The sequence below is a fragment of the Homo sapiens genome, chromosome 11, assembly GCF_000001405.40.
Source record: "Homo sapiens chromosome 11, GRCh38.p14 Primary Assembly".
Classification (NCBI taxonomy): Eukaryota; Metazoa; Chordata; class Mammalia; order Primates; family Hominidae; genus Homo; species Homo sapiens.
In genome coordinates this window covers 67,205,790-67,229,982 of record NC_000011.10, presented here as the reverse complement: position 1 = coordinate 67,229,982, position 24,193 = coordinate 67,205,790, and the positions used below count along the sequence as shown (strand labels likewise).

Genomic DNA, 24,193 nt, shown 5'->3' with positions numbered 1-24,193 from the left:
GGATGGTCTCGATCTCCTGACCTCGTGATTGGCCCTCCTCGGCCTCCCAAAGTGCTGGGATTACAGGTGTGAGCCACCACACCCGGCCTAGATGTATTTTTTTTTTTCTTTTTGAGACGGAGTCTCACTCTGTCGCCCAAGCTGGAGTGCAGTGGCGTGATCTCGGCTCACTGCAACCTCCACCTCCCGGGTTCAAGTGATTCTCCTGCCACAGCCTCCCGAGTACCTGGTACTACAGGTGCGCAACACCACGCCTGGCTAATTTCTGTATTTTTTAGTAGAGACAGGGTTTCACCATATTGGCCTGGCTGGTCTCGAACTCCTGACCTCATGATCCGCCCGCCTCAGCCTCCCAAAGTGCTGGGATTACAGGTGTGAGCCACCGTGCCAGGCCCATTTTTTATTTTCAACTGAGAATATAAACTATGAGTAAAATTATGCAGTAAAAGTAAAATGCTAAAGCAAAAAATATCTTGCTTGGATTAAAGATTCCATAAGAACATGTGATCCCAGGATATTATGGTGTTGAGTCCTCACCAGTTTCAGACATATAAGAGTCTAAAAATGTATACTGAAACTACACTGTCATCTAATTAAAATATTTCTCTGATAGATGTTGGGGAAACTTGAAAGCACAGAGATAAAGAGCATAAACTGCAGAGTCTGACCAACCTGGTTTAAGCTGTGAAGCTGAACCAAGCTGGTCAGACTCTAAAAGCTGTAGCTTTGTCACTTATTAACTTTAAGATCATGGACAAGTTTTTAAATATCCTTGAACCTTAATGTTCCCATTTGTAAAATGAGGATAATAATACCTATCTCTCAGGTAATAATAAGAATTTCATAAATGTAAATTGCTTAGTATAGTGCCTAGAATACAACAGGTTATTCTGATGATGTATTCCTAGTTTTTATTGTGCCAAAGACCATTCTTTATACAATAAAACGCATTAGACAACCGGGCCAGGAGTGGTGGCTCACACCTGTAATTCCAATTTGGGAGGTGGAGGCAGGAGGACAGCTTGAAGCCAGGAGTTTAAGACCGGCCTGGGCAACAGAGCAAGACTTCATCTCTACAGAAAGTAAGAATTAGCTGGGCATAGTGGTGTGTGCTTGTAATCCTAGTTACTCAGGAGGGGGATTGCTTGAGCCCAGGAGTTTGAGGTTACAGTGAGCTATGATCACGCCACTGCAATTCAACTTGGACGACAGGGCAAGGCCCTGTCTCTAAAACAAAAACAAAAAGCATATTAGACAACTGATCATCGTTCTTTCTTTCTTTTTTTTTTTTTTTTTCGCAACAGGGTTTCACTCTGTCGCCCAGGCTAGAGTGCAGTGGCATGATCTTCGGCTCACTGCAGCCTCAACCTCCTGGGTTCCAGTGATCCTCCCACCTCAGCCTCCTGAGCAGCTGGGACTCGAGCCACCATGCCTACCCAATTTTCTGTAGTTTCTGTAGAGATGGGGTTTTGCCATGTTTCCCAGGCTGGTCTTAACTCCTGGGCTCAAGCCATTCGCCCACCTTGGCCTCCCAAAGTGCTAGGATTACAGGCGTGAACCAGCGTGTCCGGCTTGATCATCCTTCTTGAGGAGCTAAGTAATAGCAACTCAGACAAAGATCAGATCCAGAGTATTTCATTTGGCCATTAACTCACATCTGGGTAGGTAACTGGTATTCAATTCCAGTGATGAATTTGGTACTTCCAAGTAGATGAATTAAAAAACCAAGAACATATTGAGTGACAGCCTACTGAGTATTTCGGGCCTCACCCTCAGACCTAAGCGGTGTCTTCAAAGCTCCTATAGGCAGAATACTTACCCATGCTGAGGGACTCTTTCTGAAATTCCTTAGTTAGGTGGGAACGGTTGGTTATGCAGTACACATAGCGCTCCAACACATACCAACACATCTCATAGTAGAATGGATAGCGAAACTTATTTGGAACCTACAGAGGAATAAAATAGAGAAAAGATGACGATTTTCAAGGAAAGAGAGTACAACAAATGGAATTACTGTAATCATTAACCCAGGAAATACTCTCACCAGTCAACCTGCAAACCCAGCTTGGCATCTGAAGCAAAAACTTAAGCAGAACCATCAACTTAGAAAACGTTGGTCTTGAGAAACAATCACTGAAGATAAAGGGTACTTGGGAGGCCCAGACGGGTGGATCACTTGAGGTCAGGAGTTCGCGACCAGCCTGACCAACATGGTGAAACCCTACCTCTACTAAAAATACAAAAATTAGCCAGGTGTGGTGGTGCACACCTTGTAATCCCAGCTACTCGGGAGGCTGAGGAATGAGAATCACTTGATCCTGGGAGGCGGAGGTTGCAGTGAACTGAGATCACGCCTCTGCACTCCAGTCTGGGCTACAGAGTGAGACTCCGTCTGAACAACAACAACAAAAAAAGGTACTTGAGGAAGACCATTTAGAACCACCAAGAAGCTGTCTTGGTTGAGTGGGAAAGCATCAAAACAATGAAAGTTTCGGTTCTGGGACAGAGTAAAATGTAAGAGTAAGACACAAAATACTTGAAAAAAAGGCATGCAAAGTACTCTTGCTTTACTATATTTGCCCCTGAATCAGAAGGCCATGGAACAAAGAATCTCATGGAAAAACAGGACATGAGATGAAGTGACATGTTCATATTAGGCTATTACAAATACTAAAGTTTGACTAGAGACTCACTCTCAGACCGTGTCTAGTCTAGGGGCACCAGGTTGGGTATTTTCTCCACTATCGATGCTCAGCTTGCCTGCCTCATACTTTGTAGTCTGCCAAAATGGTATGTCCACAAACCAGATTAATGTTCCATACGACTTAATCAATCACTGTCTTTATTTTCTTTCCATTCTTCCCAAAAGAGCATTTTCATTATTATTTCAGCTGGATACTAATTTTAAAAGGTACTCTTTAGATATATCACAGTCCAGGAAAGGACAAATCAGCACAGATTAATCAGTGAGGAAGACCAATGATGGGGACTATCCTAAATATATTTTGTTGCCTTTTTTTGAAACCATTTTTTTTTAACTTTTAGAGACAGGGTCTTGCTCTTTCACCCAGGCTATCATCCTCCCACCAAAGCCTCCCCAGTAGCCGAGATTACAAGTGTATGCCACCACACCTGGCTAATTTATTAACCCATTTCCCTTTTAGAAAATAAAAGAGCAGCTCGCGGCCAGTGCTCATTTAATTTTACATAAACATGCTCTTTGATGCTGAAGGAAATCTGATTGATTTTCGTTTGTTTTTTGAGACGGAGTCTTGCTCTGTTGCCCAGGCTGGAGTGCAGTGGCGCGATCTCGGCTCACTGCAAGCTCCACCTCCCGGGTTCACACCATTCTCCTGCCTCAGCCTCCTGAGTAGCTGGTACTACAAGCGCCCGCCACCACGCCCGGCTAATTTTTTGTATTTTTAGTAGAGACGGGGTTTCACCATGTTAGCCAGGATGGTCTCGATCTCCTGACCTCGTGATCTGCCCGCCTTGGCCTCCCAAAGTTCTGGGATTACAGGCGTGAGCCACTGCGCCTGGCTGGAAATCTGATTGATTTTCAAGGTGAACATAAAATATAAAAACTGTCTTTGGAGTTATTTCTAAACAAAACTAACAGCAGGATGGTCTGAATCATCAGGATTGTCTATTTCAGAAAAATCAGATCCATCAAATGAATCTCTGGCCAACAACTGTTCATGAATGATATATTATTATTTTTTTTTTGAGATGGAATCTCGCTCTGTCACCAAGGCTAGTGTGCAGTGGTGGGATCTCGGCTCACTGCAACCTCCACCTCCTGGGTTCAAGCAATTCTCCTGCCTCAGCCTCCTGAGCAGCTGGGATTATAGGTGTGTGCCCCTACACCTGGCTAATTGTTATTTTAAATTTATTTATTTATTTATTTTTACTCTTTTTTGACACAGTTTTGTTCTTGTTGCCCAGGCTGGACTGCAATGGTGCAATCTTGGCTCACTGCAACCTCCACCTCCTGGGTTCAAGCGATTCTCCTGCCTCAGCCTCCCAAGTAGCTGGGATTACAGGTGTGCACCACCATGACCAGCTAATTTTTATGTTTTTAGTAGAGACGGGGTTTCACCATCTTGGCCAGGCTGGTCTCGAACTCCTGACCTCAGGTGATCCACCTGCCTCAGCCTCCCAAAGTGCTGGGATTACAGGCATGAGCCACCGTGCCCAGCTATTTATTTATTTAGAGACAGAGTTTTGTGCTTATTGCCCAGGCTAGAGTCCAGTGGTGTGATCTCGGCTCACCGCAACCTGTGCCTCTGAGTTCAAGCGATTTTCCTGCCTCAGCCTCCCGAGTAGCTGGGATTACAGGCATGCGCCACCACACCTGGCTAATTTTGTATTTTTAGTAGAAACACGCCTTCTCCATGTTGGTCAGACTGGTTTCGAACTCCCAACGTCAGGTGATCCACCCACCTCGGCCTCCCAAAGTGCTGGGATTACAGGCGTGAGCCAGCGTGACTGGCCAATTGTTGTATTTTTAGTAGAGACGGGGTTTCACCATGTTGGCCAGGTTGGTCTCGAACTCCTGAACTCCAGTGATTCGCCCGCCTCAGCCTCCCAAAGTGCTGGCATTACAGGCATAAGCCACCACGCCTGCCCAAGAATGATGTTAACATCACGCATAGGAATGCTATGTTTTCTAGGATTTGACATTTTCAGCAATCAAGAATAACTATATTTTGTAAGTAGAAATACCACTACTAAAAACAGAATGCTATAAATAGAATGATATCTTTTGTTTTCAAAGTCAGTATACTAGAGTGATGTGAAAATAATAAAAGCGAGATAGTTCGTGGCAAAGTTATCTTGGGGTAAATGCTGCAGCCGCCGGGCGTGATGGCTCACACCTGTAATCCCAGCGCTTTGGGAGGCCAAGGCAAGTGGATCACCTGAGGTCAAGAGTTCGAGACCAGCCTGCTGAAACCCCGTCTCTACTAGAAATACAAAAATTAGCGTGGTGGTGCATACCTGTAATCCCAGCTACTCGGGATGCCTGGGCAGGAGAATTGTTTGAACCTGGGAGGTGGAGGTTGCAGTGAGCTGAGATCACACCACTGCACTCCAGCTTGGACAACAGCAGCGAAACTCTGTCTCCAAAAAAAAAAAAAAAAAAAAAAAAAAAAATGCTGCAGCTGCCAAGTGCCCCTGGTGAGTATCATTGGGGAAAATGAGAAAGGGATTAATTTTGGCCGGACAAGATAGCTCAAGCCTGCAATCCCAGCACTTTGGGAGGCTGAGGTGGGTGGATCATGAGGTCAGGAGATCAAGGCCATCCTGGCTAACACAGTGAAACCCCATCTCTACTAAAAATATAAAAATTGGCCGGGCTTGGTGGCGGGTGCCTGTAGCCCCAGCTACTCGGGAGGCTGAGGCAGGAGAATGGTGTGAACCCAGGAGGCGGAGCTTGCAGAGTGAGCTGAGATCGCACCACTGCACTCCAGCCTGGGGGACAGAGCGAGACTCTGTCTCAAAAAAAAAAAAAAAAAAAAAAGAAAGGGGTTAATTTTTGGTACGGACAGGGTCTCACTATGTTGTCCAGGCTGGTCTTAAACTCCTGGGATTAAGTGATCCTTCGCTTCAAACTCCCAAAAAGTACTTGGGATTATAGGCATGAACCACCATATCTGGCCATACAGCTTTCTTTTAGAGAGGCCATATTTCAAAAGGATAAGCCAAATGATACTGTTTTGAATATGCAGCTCCTGAGAATGTTCCCATCTCCTCCCATATTGTAGGGATGACTTCACCTACCCGTTTACAAACTCTATATCGGGTAGTGTTCCTGAATCACGGAGAACTGGATAGGAGTCCCTTTTCAAAAACCTTCACCAGGCCACAGGGCATCACTGGGGAATAAGGAGATCACTCTCCCCATGGCAAGGCAGGAGAGGAGATGTACTTTTCATAGTTAGCCCCAATCAGTTTTCTAATGCATAGTAGCCAGACCCTGATTCTGGTTTCTTATGTGGCTAAAACTTTTAACAACTAAAAGAATGACTCTCTTACACGGAAGTAAAATTAATTTATTTCTGACTAAGGGAGACAGAGGAGAGAGACAACAACCAATAGGTATTTGGTCCCTCAAAATTAAATATAATACACTACGCCTCTCCATTAGCCTTTTAAGTATAGCAACACTTTCTGGAAGGGTTTTTATTAGGAGTTCAGGACAACTCCAAATTCTAAAGCCCTCTGGAAATCAGTTGAAAGCTGAGTAATAATGACAGTTTAAAAAAAAGAAGAGTCTGGGCATAGTGGCTCATGCCCGTGGTCCCAAGGCTTTGGGGGCCTGAGGCTGGAGGACTGCTTGAGCCCAGGAGTTTGAGACGAGCCTGGGCAGCATAGTAAAACCTCGTTTCTACAAAAAAATAAAAATAAAAAAACTAGCCAGGTGTGGTGGTGTGCGTCTGTGGTCCCAGCTACTCAGGAGGCTGAGGCAGAAGGATCACTTGAGCCTACGAGGTTGAGGCTGCAATGAGCTGAGATCATGCTACTGCACTCCAGCCTGGGTGACAGAGTGAGACCCTGTGTCAAAAATAAATAAATAAATAAATAAATAAATAAGAAAGAAAAAAGGAAGAAAATATGAAATACAGGCATTAAAATTTTGAGTTTTTACTCGTAACTTATAAGACTGTATTAATTATAGCCAAGAGATACCACATACCCAACCTGACCCCATTGCTTTTTACTTATGCCGCATATCAATTTCTAAGACTGGGTTAGCATTTTTTGGAAATAATTTTTTTTTTTTTTTTTTGAGATGGAGTTTCATTCTTGTCGCCCAGGCTGGAGTGCAATGGCACGATCTTGGCTCACTGCAACCTCCGCCTCCCAGGTTCAAGCGATTTTCCTGCCTCAGCCTCCTGAGTAGCTGGGATTACAGGCATGTGCCACCACGCCTGGCTAATTTTGTATTTTTAGTAGAGACAGGGTTTCTTCATGTTGCTCACGCTGGTCTCAACTTCCTGACCTCAGGTAATCTGCCTGCCTAGCCTCCCAAAGTGTTGGGATTACAGGTGTGAGCCACTGTGCCTGGCCTTTTTTTTTTTTCCCCCTTATTTTTCTTCTCTTTACGTAGAAAACTCTTCATGCAGGGGATAAGGTACTCACTTTATGTTACTGAATATGTATTTTCCTTTTCTTCCCTGAAACTGAACCAGTGTATAAGACCCAGGTGTAAGAGTCATCTTTAACCATAAAAAGGGAACACATTCTAAAAACCAATTTTCAGACTGAATCTTAGAATGGGTACATAATTACCTCTAAGAATGACAGAGTTTTGAGGGGCGCCTCTGCCCGGCCGCCCCTACTGGGAAGTGAGGAGCCCCTCTGCCCGGCCACCACCCCGTCTGGGAGGTGTGCCCAACAGCTCATTGAGAACGGGCCAGGATGACAATGGCGGCTTTGTGGAATAGAAAGGCAGGAAAGGTGGGGAAAAGATTGAGAAATCGGATGGTTGCCGTGTCTGTGTAGAAAGAAGTAGACATGGGAGACTTTTCATTTTGTTCTGCACTAAGAAAAATTCCTCTGCCTTGGGATCCTGTTGATCTGTGACCTTACCCCCAACCCTGTGCTCTCTGAAACATGTGCTGTGTCCACTCAGGGTTAAATGGATTAAGGGCGGTGCAAGATGTGCTTTGTTAAACAGATGCTTGAAGGCAGCATGCTCGTTAAGAGTCATCACCAATCCCTAATCTCAAGTAATCAGGGACACAAACACTGCGGAAGGCCGCAGGGTCCTCTGCCTAGGAAAACCAGAGACCTTTGTTCACTTGTTTATCTGCTGACCTTCCCTCCACTATTGTCCCATGACCCTGCCAAATCCCCCTCTGTGAGAAACACCCAAGAATTATCAATAAAAAAATAAATTAAAAAAAAAAAAAAAAAAAAGAATGACAGAGTTAAACAGGAGTATTTTACTATGGAATTATACATTTTTTTTCTTTTGAAACATTTTCCCTATTTTAGAATATTTACCTATTTTAGAATAGACATCTTTTTTTTTTTTAAATTAACAGACTGTGTCTCACTCTTCCACCCAGGCTGGAGTACAGTGGCACCAACATAGCTCACTGCAACCTGGAACTCCTAGGTTCAAGCAATCCTCTCACCTCAGCCTCCCCAGTAGCTAGGATTACAGGCATGCACCACCACACCCGGCTTTGTTGCCCAGGAGAGTCTCAAACTCCTTGCTTCACATAATCCTCCCACTTTGGGCTCTCAAAGGGTTGGAATTACAGGTATGAGCCCCTGTGCCTGAACTGTACTTTTGTTACTCTTAACAAATAAAAAGAAATGTACTTTTATAAAATGTGTTGAAGAAGCACTGGCTTCCTCTCTTAATTCTACTAGTAGGGCAATTCCTGTAACTCCAACAATAATATCAATGATGTGTATAGTGATACGTAACTCCTACACCAAAATAAATGTTGCAAAATAGGCACCATAATGGTTGACTATTATTGCAGTACATAGGTCAGTGACCATTCCTATAATATATAAAAGACCATTCATATAAAAGTTGTGAATTCTTCATTAATTGTTATTTTAAAATTTTTAATACTTTTAATTCTACCAAAAAGTTTCAAGAGCAGTAGCATTAATAGTTCTACACTCTTCTCTGCAATTCTCCAACTGTTAACATTTCTCCACATCTGCTCATCTCCATACTAGCTTAGTATTCTGCTAAGCTACTTGAGAGTAACTTACAAACATCACAACCCCCAAATATTCTAATTGCTGTTTAATCCCAGTATCATCTATACTTTCATATATGATTCAGCCCTTACCAATTAGAATTCTGCTAAAAAATAAGCTCTCATTCTCTAAGGTGGAGGCTAGCCAGCAAACAACACTTAGTGGATTTGGCCTGCTGCCTCTTTTTATGATTCCTGTGAACTAGGAGTGTTTTTTACCTTTTTTTTTTTTTTTCGGGTCAGACAGGTAATGTGCTGACGTATTAATAGTAACAAGGTTCAAGGGTGGCATCTTTCACATACGTGCATGAACACCTAATCATGATCATGAACTATATAAAAGGATCGTTTTTTACATTTTTTAATGGTTGAAAAAAATTTAAGAGTATTCTGTGACATGTTAAAGTTATCTGAAATTCAACTTTCAGTGTCTATGAATAAAATTTTATATTATTTGAGCCACACTCATTTGTTTAAGTATTTCATGCTACAAGGTAGGGTTAAACAGTTACAATAGACACTTTATGACCCACGAAGCCTAAAATATTTACTATCTGGTCCTTTGCAGGAAAAGTTTGTCAACTCTTGCCTTAAGGTATCCATTGTATATAATAAATTAACTTTTTTCTATGCATCTAGAAGGGTATTAGCTGTGTATCATCCTAGAGAAAAATGAGAAAATAAGATACACAAATTATTTTATTTTGGGCTTAATTCTCTCTTGAAACCCCAGTTGAGAAAGACAGTATATACATTTATATAATTAAAGTAAGATGCTTTGAGTATAGTCATCAGTGTAGAAAAAGATACATGAATTTAAAGTTCTGAAATTTGGGTTGATAAGCCCCATTACACCAAATTATTCTGTGAGCATAAAAATGAAACACATGGCTCAAGAGATTACCAGAGGTAAATGTCTGGCCTTATAAAAATCCAAGATACTGTGGGATGCAGTAGCTCACACTTGTAATCCCAGCACTTTAGGAGGCCAAAGCGGGCAGATCACTTGAGCCCAGGAGTTCAAGACAAGCCTGGGCAACACAGCAAAAACCCATCTCCAAAAAATACAAAAAAATTAGCTGCATGTGGTGGCGTGTGCCTGTAGTCCCAGCTACCTGGGAGGCTGAGGTGGGAGGATCAACTGAGCCCAGGGAGGTTGAGGCTGCAGTGAGCCATGACTGTGACACTGCACACCAGCCTGGGCAACAGAGTGAGACTCTGTCCCAAATATTAAAAGAAAAAAATGTTACTTTTTCCCATTCACTATGGTGTTGGCTAAAAAATAAAATAAAATAAAATAAAATTTTAAAAAAAGGAAAGAAAAAGAAATCCAAGATACCAAAAACCTCACAGAATTGGAGTCCCTAAAACGGAGTATGTAAATCGTGTTAAAATTTTTATTTGGCCAGTCGCAGTGGCTCACACCTGTAATCCCAGCACTTTGGGAGGCTGAGGTGGGAGGACTGCTTGAACCAGGAGTTCTAGACCAGCCTGGGCAACGCAGTGAGACCAAGTCTCTACGAAAAAAATTAAAAATTAGTCAGATGTGGTGTGCACCCACGGTCCCAGCTACTTGGGAGGCTGAGGCAGGAAGATGCTTGAGCCTGGGAGGTTGAGGCTGCAATCATCCATGATCACGCCACTGCACTCTAGCCTGGAAAACAGAACAAGATTCTGCCTTAAAAAAAAAAAAATTAAATTTAAAATTTTGTGTGTTCCCAAAATGTCAACACTGCATTTTAACTGAAAGAAAAATGGAAGTTTTGATAAACCATCAGTGAATCTCTTGTAACATCTATCATAACTGGAGTAAACCTCTTCACATGCAACTGTTACATAAGATTACTTACCCGTGTCCGATCTTCAATGTTGTATATTTTTAACTGCATAGGGATGTTGAAGCTATGCAAAAAATTGCCCCCAAACACTAATGTGTCTGTAGGAGTATACACAGCATGAATCCAGCCTAGGAGAAGGGGAACAGAGGGCAGTGGCTGAAAACACACATTACAGTAAGTCTCTCTCAGAGAACTAGTACAAGACCCCTAGATCACACTCTTCACTCTGATTCTGCTTCTTAGTGGTTTGTCAAGTTACTTAATCTCTCAAAGCCTCAATTTCCTCTATAAAACCAGGATAAATAATACCTCTTATGGTTGCTCATGAGCATTAAATGAGAAAATGCACATCAAATGCTTAGCACATAATAAACGTTTACTGGAGCACCAACTATAAACCAGGCTCTGTACAAGATAGTTTACAATTCAGGGGTGTCCAATCTTTTGGCTTCCCTGGGCCACACTGGAAGAAGAATTGCTTGGGCAACACATAAAATACGCTAACATGACCTGGCGCGGGGGCTCACGCCTATAATCCCAGCACTCTGGGAGGCTGAGGCGGGTGGATCACGAGGTCAGGAGTTCAAGACCAGCCTGGCCAACATGGTGAAACCCCGTCTCTAGTAAAAATACAAAAATTAGCTGGGCATGGTGGTGCACACCTGTAATCCCAGCTACTCGGGAGGCTGAGACAGGAGAATTGCTTGAACTGGGACCTGGGAGGTGGAGGTTGCAGTGAGCCAAGATCACGCTACTGCACTCCAGCCTGAGGCTACAGAGCAAGACTCCATCTCAAAATAAATAAATAAATAAATAAAATAAAATATACTAATACTAATGACAGCTGACAAGCTTAAATAATTGCAAAAAAAAAAATCTCATAATGTTTTAAGAAGGCTTATGAATTTGTGTTAGGCCACATTCAAAGCCATCCTGGGCTGCATGAGGCCTGTGGCCTGCAGGTTGGATAAGCTTGGTTTACATGTGTTCTCATTTATATTCCTTATAACAAAATGAGACACAGATTTAAATATTTGCTCTAAGCGTAGTATCTAGCAGGTAAATGCATAGTCAGAATCCTAATAGAGGTCTGTGACTCCAAAATCTGTGATCTTTATAAGCACTTACTTTGATTTAATGACTTGATCAAAAACATCCCTGACTGAGCACTCCAGCCTTCACAGCCATTCCCTAGAATAGTAGGCAGTTCTTCAACATAGATTGTGTATCACCTGCAGAACAGGTCCTATCTATAGAGATTCTAAATTACTAGGGCTAATGCAGAGCCCAAACGTGTATACCTGAAAAGCCTCTGCTGGCAATTCTCATATACTTTATTGGAAAACCACTGCCTTTTCAAACTGAAAACAAAACAAACAAAACCTCAGCATCTATTCCATAATGACAGGAAGAAACACTGTTGTTTTCTGCAGACGCCCAGCATCATAACTATTCTTGGTGGTAATCCATCAATTTCTTTTTCATTAAGGAAAAAAATGGCTAAATAACCCACTCTTCCCATTTTGCTTACCTGAGGGAATGACGAAGGTATAGCCCTGCTTGAGCTCAATGCGCTGACAATCTGATACCCGGTCACCCAGAAAGATGTCTCCCTGTTTCCCTGACAGCAGCCAATTCTCGTACAGCTCCAGGTTGTGGGCTGTAGGGGGGATGAGCCAGAAGACCTGTGAGTTAAAAAACTTTAGTCTGTTAACAGCCATTGACATGACCCAGTCGTCTCCCTCAACTGATAAACAGGTACAAAATTAAGACCACCAGGTAGAAGAAAGGCAAGCAATTTTCCCAGCCTATAGAACTTGACTATGTGGTAAACCCTAGAAGGTCCAAGGCAGTAGATCTTTCTTATCCTTCACTTGATCCAACAGCATTAAGGCTTCCCTTGGGTTTGACTATACACCATCCAGGACTCGGAGAGAAGAGGGACCATTCAGCTCATTACCTAGGCAGTCCCTTAAACACTCTGTCTGGCTTCCAGAGTCCTAAGTAGTACAGTTAATTAGGCACAGTATCTTCAAGAGACTGGCTCAGGTTGTTTTGTCCAAGGTAGTAACTAAGATCAACAGGGCTTAAAGGGATCTGAAGCAAACAAAATGACTTTTGGATTTGGAGACATAGTTGTTCTGATTAAGACTTTTTTTTTTTTTTTTTTTTTTTGACAGAGTTTCACTCTTGTAGTCCAGGCTGGAGTGCAGTGGCACAATCTTGGCTCACCGTAACCTCCACCTCCTGGGTTCAAGCGATTCTCCTGCCTCAGCCTCCAGAGTTGCTGGGACTACAGGCGTGCGCCACCACACCCAGCTAATTTTTGTATTTTTAGTAGAGACGGGGTTTCACCATGTTGGCCAAGATGTTCTCGATCTCCTGACCTTATGATCCACCCACCTTGGCCTCCCAAAGTGTTGGATTACAGGCGTGAGCCACTGTGCCCGGACAAGACCTCATGTTTTTTTGTTGTTGTTGTTTGTTTCTTTTTTGAGACAGAGTTTTGCTCTTGTTGCCCAGGCTAGAGTGCAATGGCGCGATCTCAGCTCACCGCAACCTCCACCTTGTGGGTTCAAGCGATTCTCCTGCCTCAGCCTCCCGAGTAGCTGGGATTATAGGCATGTACCACCACACCCAGCTAATTTTGTATTTTTAGTAGAGATGCACTTTCTCCATGTTGGTCAGGCTGGTCTTGAACTCCTGACCTCAGCTGATCCGCCCGCCTTGGCCTCCCAAAGTGCTGGGATTACAGGCGTGAGCCACCATGCCTGGCCAAGACCTCATGTTTTAAACAAGGCATTATCTATTCTCATTCTAGTTCCTACTTTTCTCTTACAAATGCATTCACTGCAAGTTAGAGAAAAAAGAGTAACAAGAGTATAATACTATAAACCTCGGGTATTAATTCTAGATTTCCATTCTCATATAGCATTCAGAAGCATTTTCACAAGCTGGAATATAACTGAATGAATAAAGATAATCCTTCAAAACCTGTTTACATCCTCAAAAAGGACTTAAAGGCTTCCTTTGGCCATATTTCAGACCAATGGCTACATAGAGGGAAAGTTGGTTTAGATCTTAATTTGCTGATTTCACAGTGAATCTATCCAAAATTCGTGTTCCCTTCCACTATTTATTATACTTCCAAGTACAGAAATTATCTTGTCCTTCTAAAATCACTTCTTTGGCTTCATTTGGAGAACTCTGATTCAGGAATCTAGAAACAGGACTATTGAGATTTACTAAGTGCTGTGCCAATGGTGTAATGACAGTGAACTAGATGAATACTAATTTCTACTGAACACTAGCCAAGAAGGTGAACTTAATCTATAATTCTTTCCAGATACGAATGGGGACAATTCCCTAACAGATTCATTTCCAGGGTATATTAAGTATACATGAACTGAAGCAAAGTCATACAACCAACTTCAGATTCCAACCCCTATCACAACTATGACCATACCTTTCCCCCTTGATGGATGTGATACCAAACAGAGGTACCACCAAAGTCCACATGGAAGTCAGTATAGCAGCCTCGAACACTCATTAGACAGTACCTGACCCAAAAAAAGCAGCAGCATTAGTGTACTGATGGAAAAAAGTACATCTGCCCCACCAAAATGCCATACTCTCCTCTTATATACTCCCTTTATCTTCCACTTAATCTTAAGTTCCAGAAGGAGAAAAAGCAATGCATTTTCAAGTCATCACATTATCAGAAAAAGGTTTTTTTTTTTTCTACCGTATTGACTAAAATGTAAGTTTTTTTTCCTTTAACTGTGTGGTTGTGTGCTATGGTATGCTCACATACACTCTTCCTTGTGGAACTGTAAAGTCTCATCTTTAAATAATTCATCTTTTTAATCATTCAAGACACAGAGCAAAGCTCGTAAGGGAGAAGCCAATCCTTGCTATTGCTTTGGTCTCCCACAGCACACGGAGGAAGATGCAGGGCGCATCACTTACTTCTGCACTTTAGGGTACTGCATCTCCAAGATGGCATTTGTTGATTCAGTCTGGCTTTCCTTCAAGTGCCTTGGCCACATGTTGTCTACCCAGTCAATGAAATCCACCTTTAAATAGAAGGAGGAAACACTTGGGCTCCAAGGGAAAGGTTGGGGTCAAAGATAATTTTAAAGTCAAGAAAAGCAGAATTTCTTAAAATACATAACAAAAAACTATAATTTAATTATAAGCAAATTAAAAAAATCTGTTGGCGAATCTTAGGATTACTAGGCAACCATCCTAGAAATAATTGTTATATGAGAATAAAGATTAATCATTCCATCAAATGATAATAGTAAAGACAGCACTAGTCAAAATGGAATCATTAATTATGCAATAGTGTATAACTATGAACTCTCTTCTATGTCAATACTTATATAATTTGTTTTATTTTTTAATCCAATAAAAGGTGTTGTCTGGAAGGTATCTATAAACTCAGCAAAATATATACCATTGTTAGAACAGTTAAGATGCCAAAAGTTAGGCCAAAAAAAAGAAAAAAATCCAGTATAGATTTATAGCCTTGCATTGACAATGTGCTATAGAAACTACCAGCTTAGGAATAAGAAGCTCCAGGTCTATCATGTCTTTTCAAGACTATATAAGGCCCTCAAACTCATCTATAAAACTAAGATAGACCAGGCACAGTGGCTCACACCTGCAATCCCAGAGCTTTGGAAGGCCAAGGTGGGAAGATCACTTGAACCCAGGAGTTTAAGACCAGCCTGGGCAACACAGTGAGAACCCATCTCTTCAAAATAAAAAAATAGTTGGGATCAGTGGCTCACACCTGTAATCCCCAACACTTTGGGAGGCCAAGGCAGGCGGATCACCTGAGGTCGGAAGTTCAAGACCAGCCTGACCAACATGGAGAAATCCCGTCTCTACTAAAAATACAAAATTAGGCCCAGTGCAGTGGCTCACGCCTGTAATCCCAGCACTTTGGGAGGCCGAGGCAGGTGGATCACGAGGTCAGGAGATCGAGACCATCTTGGCTAACATGGTGAAACCCCATCTCTACTAAAAATACAAAAAATTAGCCAGGCGTGGTGGCGGGCGCCCGTAGTCCCAGCTACTCGGGAGGCTGAGGCAGGAGAATGGCATGAACCCGGGAGGCGGAGCTTGCAGTGAGCCGAGATTGCGCCACTGCACTCCAGCCTGGGTAACAGAGCAAGACTCCGTCTCAAAAAAAAAAAAAAATTAGCTGCGCATGGTGGCGCATGCCTGTAATCCCAGCTACTTGGGAGGCTGAGGCAGGAGAATCGCTTGAACCCAGGAGGTGGAGGTTCTGGTGAGCCGAGATGGTGCCACTGCACTCCAGCCTGGGAAACAAGAGCGAAACGCCGTCTCAAAAAATAAATAAAATAAAATAAAAAAAACAGCCAGGCGTTGTGGCATGTGCCTATAGTCCTAGCTACTTGTGAGGCTAAGATGGGAGGTTTGCTTAAACCCAGGAGGTTGAGGCTGCAGTAAGCTACGATCACCACTGCACTCCAGCTTGGGCAACAGGGCAAGACTGTCTCAATAAAAAACCCAAAAACACAAAAAAACTAAGATAACTACTTCAAAGATACGTTGTAAGGATTAAATGTAAACACTTTTAAAATCTGAAATAATGTGAGAATACAGAAATCTTTTTTTTTTTTTTTTTTGAGACGGTCTGCTCTGTCACCCAGGCTATAATGTTGTGGTGCGATCTCAGCTCACTGCAACCTCCGCCTCCCAGGTTCAAGCAATTCTCCTGCCTCAGCCTCTTGAGTAGCTGGGATTACAGGCACCCGCCACCGCACCTAACTAATTTTTGTATTTTTTAGTAGAGACAGGGTTTCACCATCTTGGCCAGGCTGGTCTCGAACTTCTGATCTCAGGCAATCCACCAGCCTCAGCCCCACAAAGTGCTGGGATTACAGCATGAGCTACCATGCCCGGCCAGGAATCTTTTAAATAATACTGGCTGAAAAAAAAGAGAAGTGAAAGCAATACGCAACATTTTACACTAAATTATAACATTTCCTGTGCCTTCAAGTGTCTACACTCAACCAATGAACTCCAGGTAGGTAAAACTCGAGAGCCAAACCACCATGAATTCAGCACAGTGCTGATGTGGTAAATATCTAACTTATGGTTATAAAAAACATGTATCTGGTAAGCTTTGTAACAACATCTACGTATTTGATCACTTACTTCCCTTATAATGTGAATGGAGACAAATGCATAAAGTTGTGCATGATATGAAGCAGTTGTCTAGAGGATACCCAGATGTTAACTGTGGGAGAGTGTTTAGAAAGCATCACCACTGACATGGAAGAAACAAACAAGATGAGGAGCAACGGTTAAGGTTAACCTGCTGTTCCATTTCAAAGAATTTCTGCTCAGGGAGCCAACAATTTTAACCAAGCATCCGCCGGTCCCAGAACATTGAATAAGCCCTGGATGCCTTTCTTTCCTTCAAATAAAATTTACTGTTTCTTAATGTAGTAGCCACCATCTCCCATCCCCGTGTGTTGTCCATGGGAATGCCTTTAACAGAATAATGAATAAAGTACTTGCTTAATACGCTGTAAGCTCCCATGTCTGAATAGGGAGAGGAACGGTTCAGAACATATGAGTATTTTTTTTTTTTTTACCACGCATTCATTCACAGAAAGCAGAATTTCTTAATTGCAGCAAGAAAGTCAGTCATTTTTGCCTGCCTTTCTTTGGTATTATTAGGTATCTTCAGACTACAGAGAGAATTTGTGGTAACATGTTCGTGCTTTTCTTCTTAGGTTAATCTTTAGCCTTGGGATAGATCCTTTGCTAAATACTCTGATCCCAGTTATAATCTGTTCTGCAACAAAACTAGGGCCAAACTGGTAAGAAGTCCAATATCATGAACCTAGTCTATTCATAAACAACTCATAGCCTTCCATGAACTTATTTCCCCATCACCAAACAAATGTGTATTATTTGTGCCATTTTAAAATCTACCTCTCAGTTATTGCTGGAATGGCAGCACTAAATAATCTCTTCTCACCATAGAACTCTACTTTATGCTAGCTCCTATAACAGGCATGTAAAAGTTGCCCTTCTTACCTCCCGGAACCTACTTTTACAAATGCTATTCCTTCTGCCCGTAATTCTGGTCTCCCTCTCCTTGCTTCATTATTTCTTTTATGTCAACATTAGGCACCACTTCCTCCAAAGAGCTTCCCCTAATTCTCCTATAGTTTCTAAATTAGGTCATCCTTCCAAAATGCTTCCACAATATCCTGCTTTATTCAATTTTTTTAATTTTAAAAGACTGGGTCTTGCCACATTGCCTAGGCTGCCTCAAACTCCTGGGCTCAAGCAATTCTCCCACCACAGCCTCCCAGGTAGCTGGGACTAAAGGCATGTGCTACTTTGCCTGGCTGTTTATTCACTTTTGAAGCACTGCTCATACTATAGTTTATATAAATGCATATTTTCTTGTCTTTCTTTGAGTCTCTAACAAGAATGATATCATTTTCCACTGTATCTCTAGTACCTAGACAGTGCTTAGCATGTGGTAGGCATCTGATAAATGAATAGGCAAACCCTGAAGGTTGTGAAGATCACAGGGAACAAACAGATTATGTAACTCTAGGATTAAGAAATGCAAATAGGTTAGAACTTGAGGATATAAAGTGAGAAGTGACAGATCAAAGTTTTTAGACATGAAGATTAAGTTTTTAGAAATGAAGATTAAGTTTTTGAATATTAAAAAATTAAAAAAGAACTACTAATAGGCTATTATATATATATTCTTTTTTTTTTTTTTTTTTTTTTTTTTTGAGACAGGGTCTCACTGTGTCACCCAGGCTGGAGTGCAGTGGTGTGATCATGGCTCACTGCAACCTCTGCCTCCTGGTTTCAAGCGATTCTCCCACCTCAACTTCCCAGGTAGCTGGGATCACGGGTGTGCACCACCACACCCAGCTAATTTTTGTATTTTTAGTAGAGGCGGGGTTTCACCATGTTGGCCAGGCTGGTTTTGAACTCCTGACCTCAAGTGATCTGCCTGCCTTGGCCTCCCAGAGTGCTGGGATTGTAGGCGTGAGCTACCGCACCTGGCTTATTTTCTATATTTTGACTATGGTGGTTACTTACATGAATAAATATGTTTGTCAAAACTCACTGAAATGCACACTTAAAATGGGGGTCCACTTTACTGAACATCAATTTTACCTCAATAAAGTTGGTTTTTAAAAAAAGCACTAGTGAAATATACTGGAAAAAACCTAGATAAATGAAGGGATATACTATGGGGGGAATAAGAATTCTACCAATAGAAACAGCAACAACAAAAATAACATGATTGTAGCTATGTTTTTGTTTGTTTGTTTGTTTTGAAATAGGGTCTCATTCTGTCACCCAGGCTGGAGTGTAGTGGCACCATCTCAGCTCACTGCAACTTCTGCCTCCCGGGTTCAAGTGATTCTTGTACCTCAGCCTCCCGAGTGGTCTCGAACTCTTGGGCTCAAGTGATACGCCCACCTTGGCCTCCTGAAGTGCTGGGATTAGAGGTGTGAGCAACTGTGCCAGGCCTCTAGCTATAAATGTAAAACTTGACCTGGTCGATACTTTTCCATTATTAAGATTTTGAAATGTGTGACTATTCCACATGAAGTCTTCTATCTTATTCTATCAACAAAATAAACGTTATTACTTACATAGCAAGGTCACAAAAACCTTACCTGCTTTTAGAATGTGAGCTTGGTAATAGCTCATTCAATCTTTCATGTTTTAGGTCCCCGTAAGATATTAGTATTGTGGCCTCTGCTCTCTTAATAATTTTCTATTTCTGAGCCCTCTCATAGGTTCTTCTCCGCCCTTTAATGTTAATATATTTTTCTAATTTTTATAAAATGATGTCACATTTTTATCATTAAAACTAGGGACAGAGTGAATAAATTCAGGATGCCACAAAAAAGGCTTCATGTGGAATAGTGAGACATTTCACAACCTTAATAATGGTAAAGTATTGACCAGGTCAAGTTTTACATTTATAGCTACAATCATGTTATTTTTCTTGTTGCTGCTTAGTTTTTGTTTTTTGTTTTTTTTTTCAAAAGTAGAAACAAGGTCTTATTATGTTGCCCAGACTGGTCTCAAATTACTAGGCTCAAGCAATCCTCCTGCCTCAACCCCCTGAGTAGCTGGGACTACATGGGGGACGCCATCATGCCTGGCTAATTTTTCTATAGAGACAGGGTTTCACCATGTTGCCCAGGCTGGTATCAAACTCCTGAGCTCAAGCAATCTGTCTGCCTTCGGCCTCCCCAAGTGCTAGGATTACAGGCATGAGCCACCATGCTCGGCTTCTATTTACATTTTTTATCATTTTATTATTTTTTTGAGACAGATTCTTGCAATGTTGGCTAGGCTACAGTGATCACAGCTCACTGCAGCCTCAACCTCCCAGGCTCAAGCAATCCTCCCACCTCGGTCTCTTGAGTAACCAGGACTACAGGTGCATGCCACCATGCCTGGCTAAGTTTCCAAATTTTGTAGAGATGAGGTCTTGCTATGTTAACCAGGCTGGTCTTGAACTCCTAGGCTCAAGGGATACTCCCACCTCAGCCTCCCAAAGTGCTGGAATTACAGGCATGAGCCAACGTGTGTGGCCAATCCTGTTATTTTTAAATTAAAATTCTGGAAATTGGCCGGGTACAGTGGCTCACACCTGTAATTCCAGCACTTTGGGAGGCTGAGACAGGTGGATCACCTGAGGTCAGGGGTTCGAGACAAGCCTGGCCAACATGGTGAAACCCCATCTCTACTAAAAATACAAAAATTAGCCGGGTGTGGTGGTGTGTCCCTGTAATCCCAGCTATTTGAGAGGCTGAGGTGGGAGAATTGCTTGAACCTGGGAGGCGGAGGCTGCAGTGAGCCAAGATCGTGCCACTGCACTAAAGCCTGGGCAACAGAGCGAGAACCTGTCTCAAAAATAATAATAATAATAATAATAATAAAATAAAATTCTAGAAATATTAAGAAAATAAAATTATAAATAAATAATGTTACTGGAATTCTTACATCCCATCCCTCTCACTAAATTCCTATTTAGCAAATCACATTAGGCTAATAAGAAGGCTAAATTCTAACCACCTGTCTTCCTATACTTCCATATGATCAAATAAACATGATTACTAATACAAAAATAGTTCCTTTCGGCCCGGTGTGGTGGCTCATGCCTGTAATCCCAGCACTTTGGGAGACCGAGGCAGGTCGATCACTTGAGGTCAGGAGTTCAAGACCAGCCTGGCCAACATGATGAAACCCCGTCTCTAACAAAAAAAATACAAAAATTAGCAGTGCATGGTGGCCTGTAGTCTCAGCTACTCAGGAGGCTGAGGCAGGAGAATTGCTTGAACCGGGGAGGCAGAGGTTGCAGTGAACCGAGATCGTGCCACCGCACTCTATATCCCGGGCAACAATGTGAGACTCGGCCTCAAAAAAAAAATAATAAATAATAAAAATGTTTATTTTTATTTTTGGGGGTCTCGTGACATTCCCCAGGCTGATCTTGAACTACTGGCCTCAAGCAATTCTCCTGTCTTAGCCTCTCAAAGTGTTGGGATTACAAATGTGAGCCACCATGCCTGGTCAAGAGTGAATTTTTTTTTTTTTTTTTTTGAGACAGGGTCTCACTGTCACACAGGCTGGAGTGCAGTGGCATGATCTCAGCTCACTGCAACCTCTGCCTCCCAGGTTCAAGCGATTCTCATGCCTCAGCCTCCCGAGTAGCTGGAATTACAGGCGCATGCAACCATGCTTGGCTAATTTTTGTATTTTTAGTAGAGATGGGAGTTTTGCCATGTTGGCCAAGCTGGTCTCAAACTCCTGACCTCAGGTGATCCGCCTACCTCGGATCCCAAAGTGCTGGGATTCCAAGCATGAGCCACTGCGCCTGGCCCCAAGGTTGAATTTTAATATTCCTCTCCGTTACATCCAAAGGTCAATGTTCCTACATTAAGTTACTGTGATACAAATCAGAATAATCCTGCCCTATATAAAATTAAGTGATTTCACGCCCAGGCACGGTGGCTCACGCCTGTAATCCCAGCACTTTGGGAGGCCAAGGTGGGAGAACTGCTTGAGCCCAGCAGTTCAAGGTCAGCCTGGACAAAATTGTGAGACCCTGTCTTTAAAAAAAAAAAATTTTTTTAATAATAATAAATTTTAAAATTTTAAAATTTATTATGATTTCGGAAAATGCAGTTATTCTTATCAAAATACAATATCAATATATCTTTATAAAAATACAAATTATTCTTGTCAAATAGTCTTGTTTACCTTCAGCTTAATCTTGATATGTGCAAAAAGTTATAAAATTTCCCAGTATAAAAACAACGCATTTTATTTTAAATTTTTGAGACAGGGTCTTGTTCTGTCACCCAGGCTGGAATGCAGTGGTGCAATCACCGGTCACTGCAGCCTCAACCTCCTGGGCTCAGGTGATCCTCCCACCTCAGCCTCTTGAGTAGCTGGAACTACAGACATGTGCCATCACACCCAGCTAATTTTTTTTTTTGTACTTTTTGTAGAGATGTGGTTTCACCATGTTGCCCCGGCTGCTCTCAAACTCCTCAGCTCAAGCGATCTGCCTCCCTTGGCCTCCCAAAGTGCTGGGATAACAAGCATCAGTTACCAACGTCCAGCCGAAAACAACCCTTTTGGTGACAATGACAATATGAAGAAAATGATTACACTAACCGTGGAGGGCCTCTGCACCATATTCTCCAGCCTGGTGTGGCTAAACTCGAGGCTGATGACATTATAGAGTTTCTCTCGCTCCTCCTCTGGGGTCTCATAGTAGCGTGTCCACTGAGCCATGGTCATTTCAATGCCTTTCTGTGTGTTCACGTCCATGACATCCACCATGCGACGACTCCCTGCCATAAAAGATGCATCGATCATCTCTATCGAGCCACTAATATCCTTAAATATAGTAAGAATATTTTTTAAAAAGTAGAAGAAAAAATACTGTCCTTTCTTATTTTCAATAATACACAAGGAAAAAGTTCTCACTCAACAATCATAATCAAATCACAAAGAATGGGAAAGACAATGGATAATGTTAATAATAATTATTCCCTAAGGCATGTTTACTATACAGTCAGTTGTTGACTCTTTTATCTAATGTCTCATTTAATCCTAACAATTCTAAATGCTAAATACTAATCTCCACTTCATACATGAGAAAGCAGATGTTAGGTAACTTACAGAACAAAGCAGGAAAAGAACCGGGGCAGGCTCACTCTAGAGTCAAGCTCTTACTTACTGATCTATACTGATTTGATGCAGGTTGACCTAATCTATCTCATAATTTGAATGAAGTATCCATAATTTAGTGGGTAACAGACTGATTTTGAATTTATATTCTTTTGTTAAACAGGGCTATTTCGCAAACCTGTTGCTAATATCCTAGCCCATGAAGATAATTATCCTAGTTCATGAAGAACAAAGTCCCCTTTTCATTTATTCCACAAATATTTATAGAATGATAAAGACACCAGGATGGACACGAAAATCTATATCAGATTCTTGTTAACTATAACAACTACAACAAAACGCATAAGGCCACAAGAGTCAGCATAAAATAGTAGTGGAGAGAAAACAATAGCTTTGGAGTCAAAGAGACCTAAGTTTGTTTATTTATTTTTTAGAGACGGAGTCTCGCTCTGTCGCTCAGGCTGGAGTGCAGTGGCACGCTCTCGGCTCACTGCAACCTCCCACCTCCTGGGTTCAAGCAGTTCTCCTGCCTCAACCTCCACAGTAGCTGGGACTACAGGCACACGCCACTACCCCACCTAATTTTTTGTATTTTAGTAGAGACGGGGTTTCACCATGTTGCCCAGGATGGCCTCCAACTCCTGAGCTCAGGCAATCCGCCTGTCTTGGCCTCCTAAAGTGCTAGGATTACAGGCGTGAGCCACCATGCCCAGCCTATTTATTTCTTTAATTTTATTTTGAGACAGTCTCGCTGTGTCACCCAGGCTGGAGTGCAGTGGTGCGAAATCTTGGCTCACTGCAACCTCCACCTCCCAGGTTCAAGAGATTCTTGTGCCTCAGCCTCCCAAGTAGCTGGGAATATGGCCGTGTGCCACCACGCCTGCCTAATTTTTGTATTTTTGGTAAAGTCAGCGTTTTGCCATGTTGGCCAGGCTGGTCTCAAACTCCTGACCTCAGCTGATCTGCCCGCCTTGGCCTTCCAAAATGCTGGGATTACACATGTGAGCCACTGCACCTGCCTGAGACCTAAGTTTAAATCTCAGCTCCTATACTACTTAGACAAGTTATATAATTTCTCTGAACATTAATATCTTGTGGAGAATGAGTATCACCTTGTGGGCCACTGTGAAGATTTAAAGTCGATAAAGTAAAATGTTTAATACAAAGTAGGTGCTCAAGCGGCAGTAAAAACAAAAGGGAAGTATCATATTTTTATTAGACTGATCAGAAAAGGCTTTAGGAAAAGAGGGAGAAGAATAAGTAGAATTCTAACAAGAGATGATTCAACAGGGACAATTCCATGCAGAGGTAAAATATAAGCTAAAAGATTCAGAAAATGGTGGTCAAGGAAGGGAGAGAAAATAAAAAGCTGACAATATT

At 42.1% G+C, this 24,193-nt stretch overlaps 1 protein-coding gene and 1 non-coding gene across 8 annotated transcripts in view, besides 1 other annotated feature; both read right to left on the bottom strand.

Moving 5' to 3' along the window:
- KDM2A (lysine demethylase 2A) overlaps positions 1-24,193 on the bottom strand; it is a 138,820-nt gene that overhangs the window by 28,100 nt on the left and 86,527 nt on the right. For 6 of the 7 annotated variants that reach the window (NR_027473.2, NM_012308.3, XM_017017391.2 and 3 more), the window contains 6 exons: positions 22,295-22,473; positions 14,537-14,643; positions 14,034-14,127; positions 12,099-12,252; positions 10,580-10,695; positions 1,820-1,946 (listed from right to left, as the gene is read on the bottom strand). Coding sequence is in view for 6 of the 7 variants with exons in the window: in NM_012308.3 (NP_036440.1) it covers positions 1,820-1,946; positions 10,580-10,695; positions 12,099-12,252; positions 14,034-14,127; positions 14,537-14,643; positions 22,295-22,473 (777 nt within the window). In the remaining variant the exon portion in view is untranslated. Of the gene's footprint in view, positions 1-1,819; positions 1,947-10,579; positions 10,696-12,098; positions 12,253-14,033; positions 14,128-14,536; positions 14,644-22,294; positions 22,474-24,193 lie in introns of those variants that run through there. The other variant, XM_011544861.2, reaches the window with a different exon arrangement.
- Positions 6,846-7,725: an enhancer, noted in NCBI's record as "NANOG-H3K27ac hESC enhancer chr11:66989729-66990608 (GRCh37/hg19 assembly coordinates)". NCBI's record gives its function as "activates a minimal SCP1, AML or CMV promoter by ChIP-STARR-seq in primed H9 embryonic stem cells {active_cell/tissue: H9 hESC(primed)}" and the evidence as "EXISTENCE:reporter gene assay evidence [ECO:0000049][PMID:30033119]".
- LOC124902839 (small nucleolar RNA U13) lies at positions 8,967-9,075 on the bottom strand. Its single transcript, XR_007063022.1, has one exon. It is a non-coding gene; the product is annotated as a small nucleolar RNA U13 (small nucleolar RNA).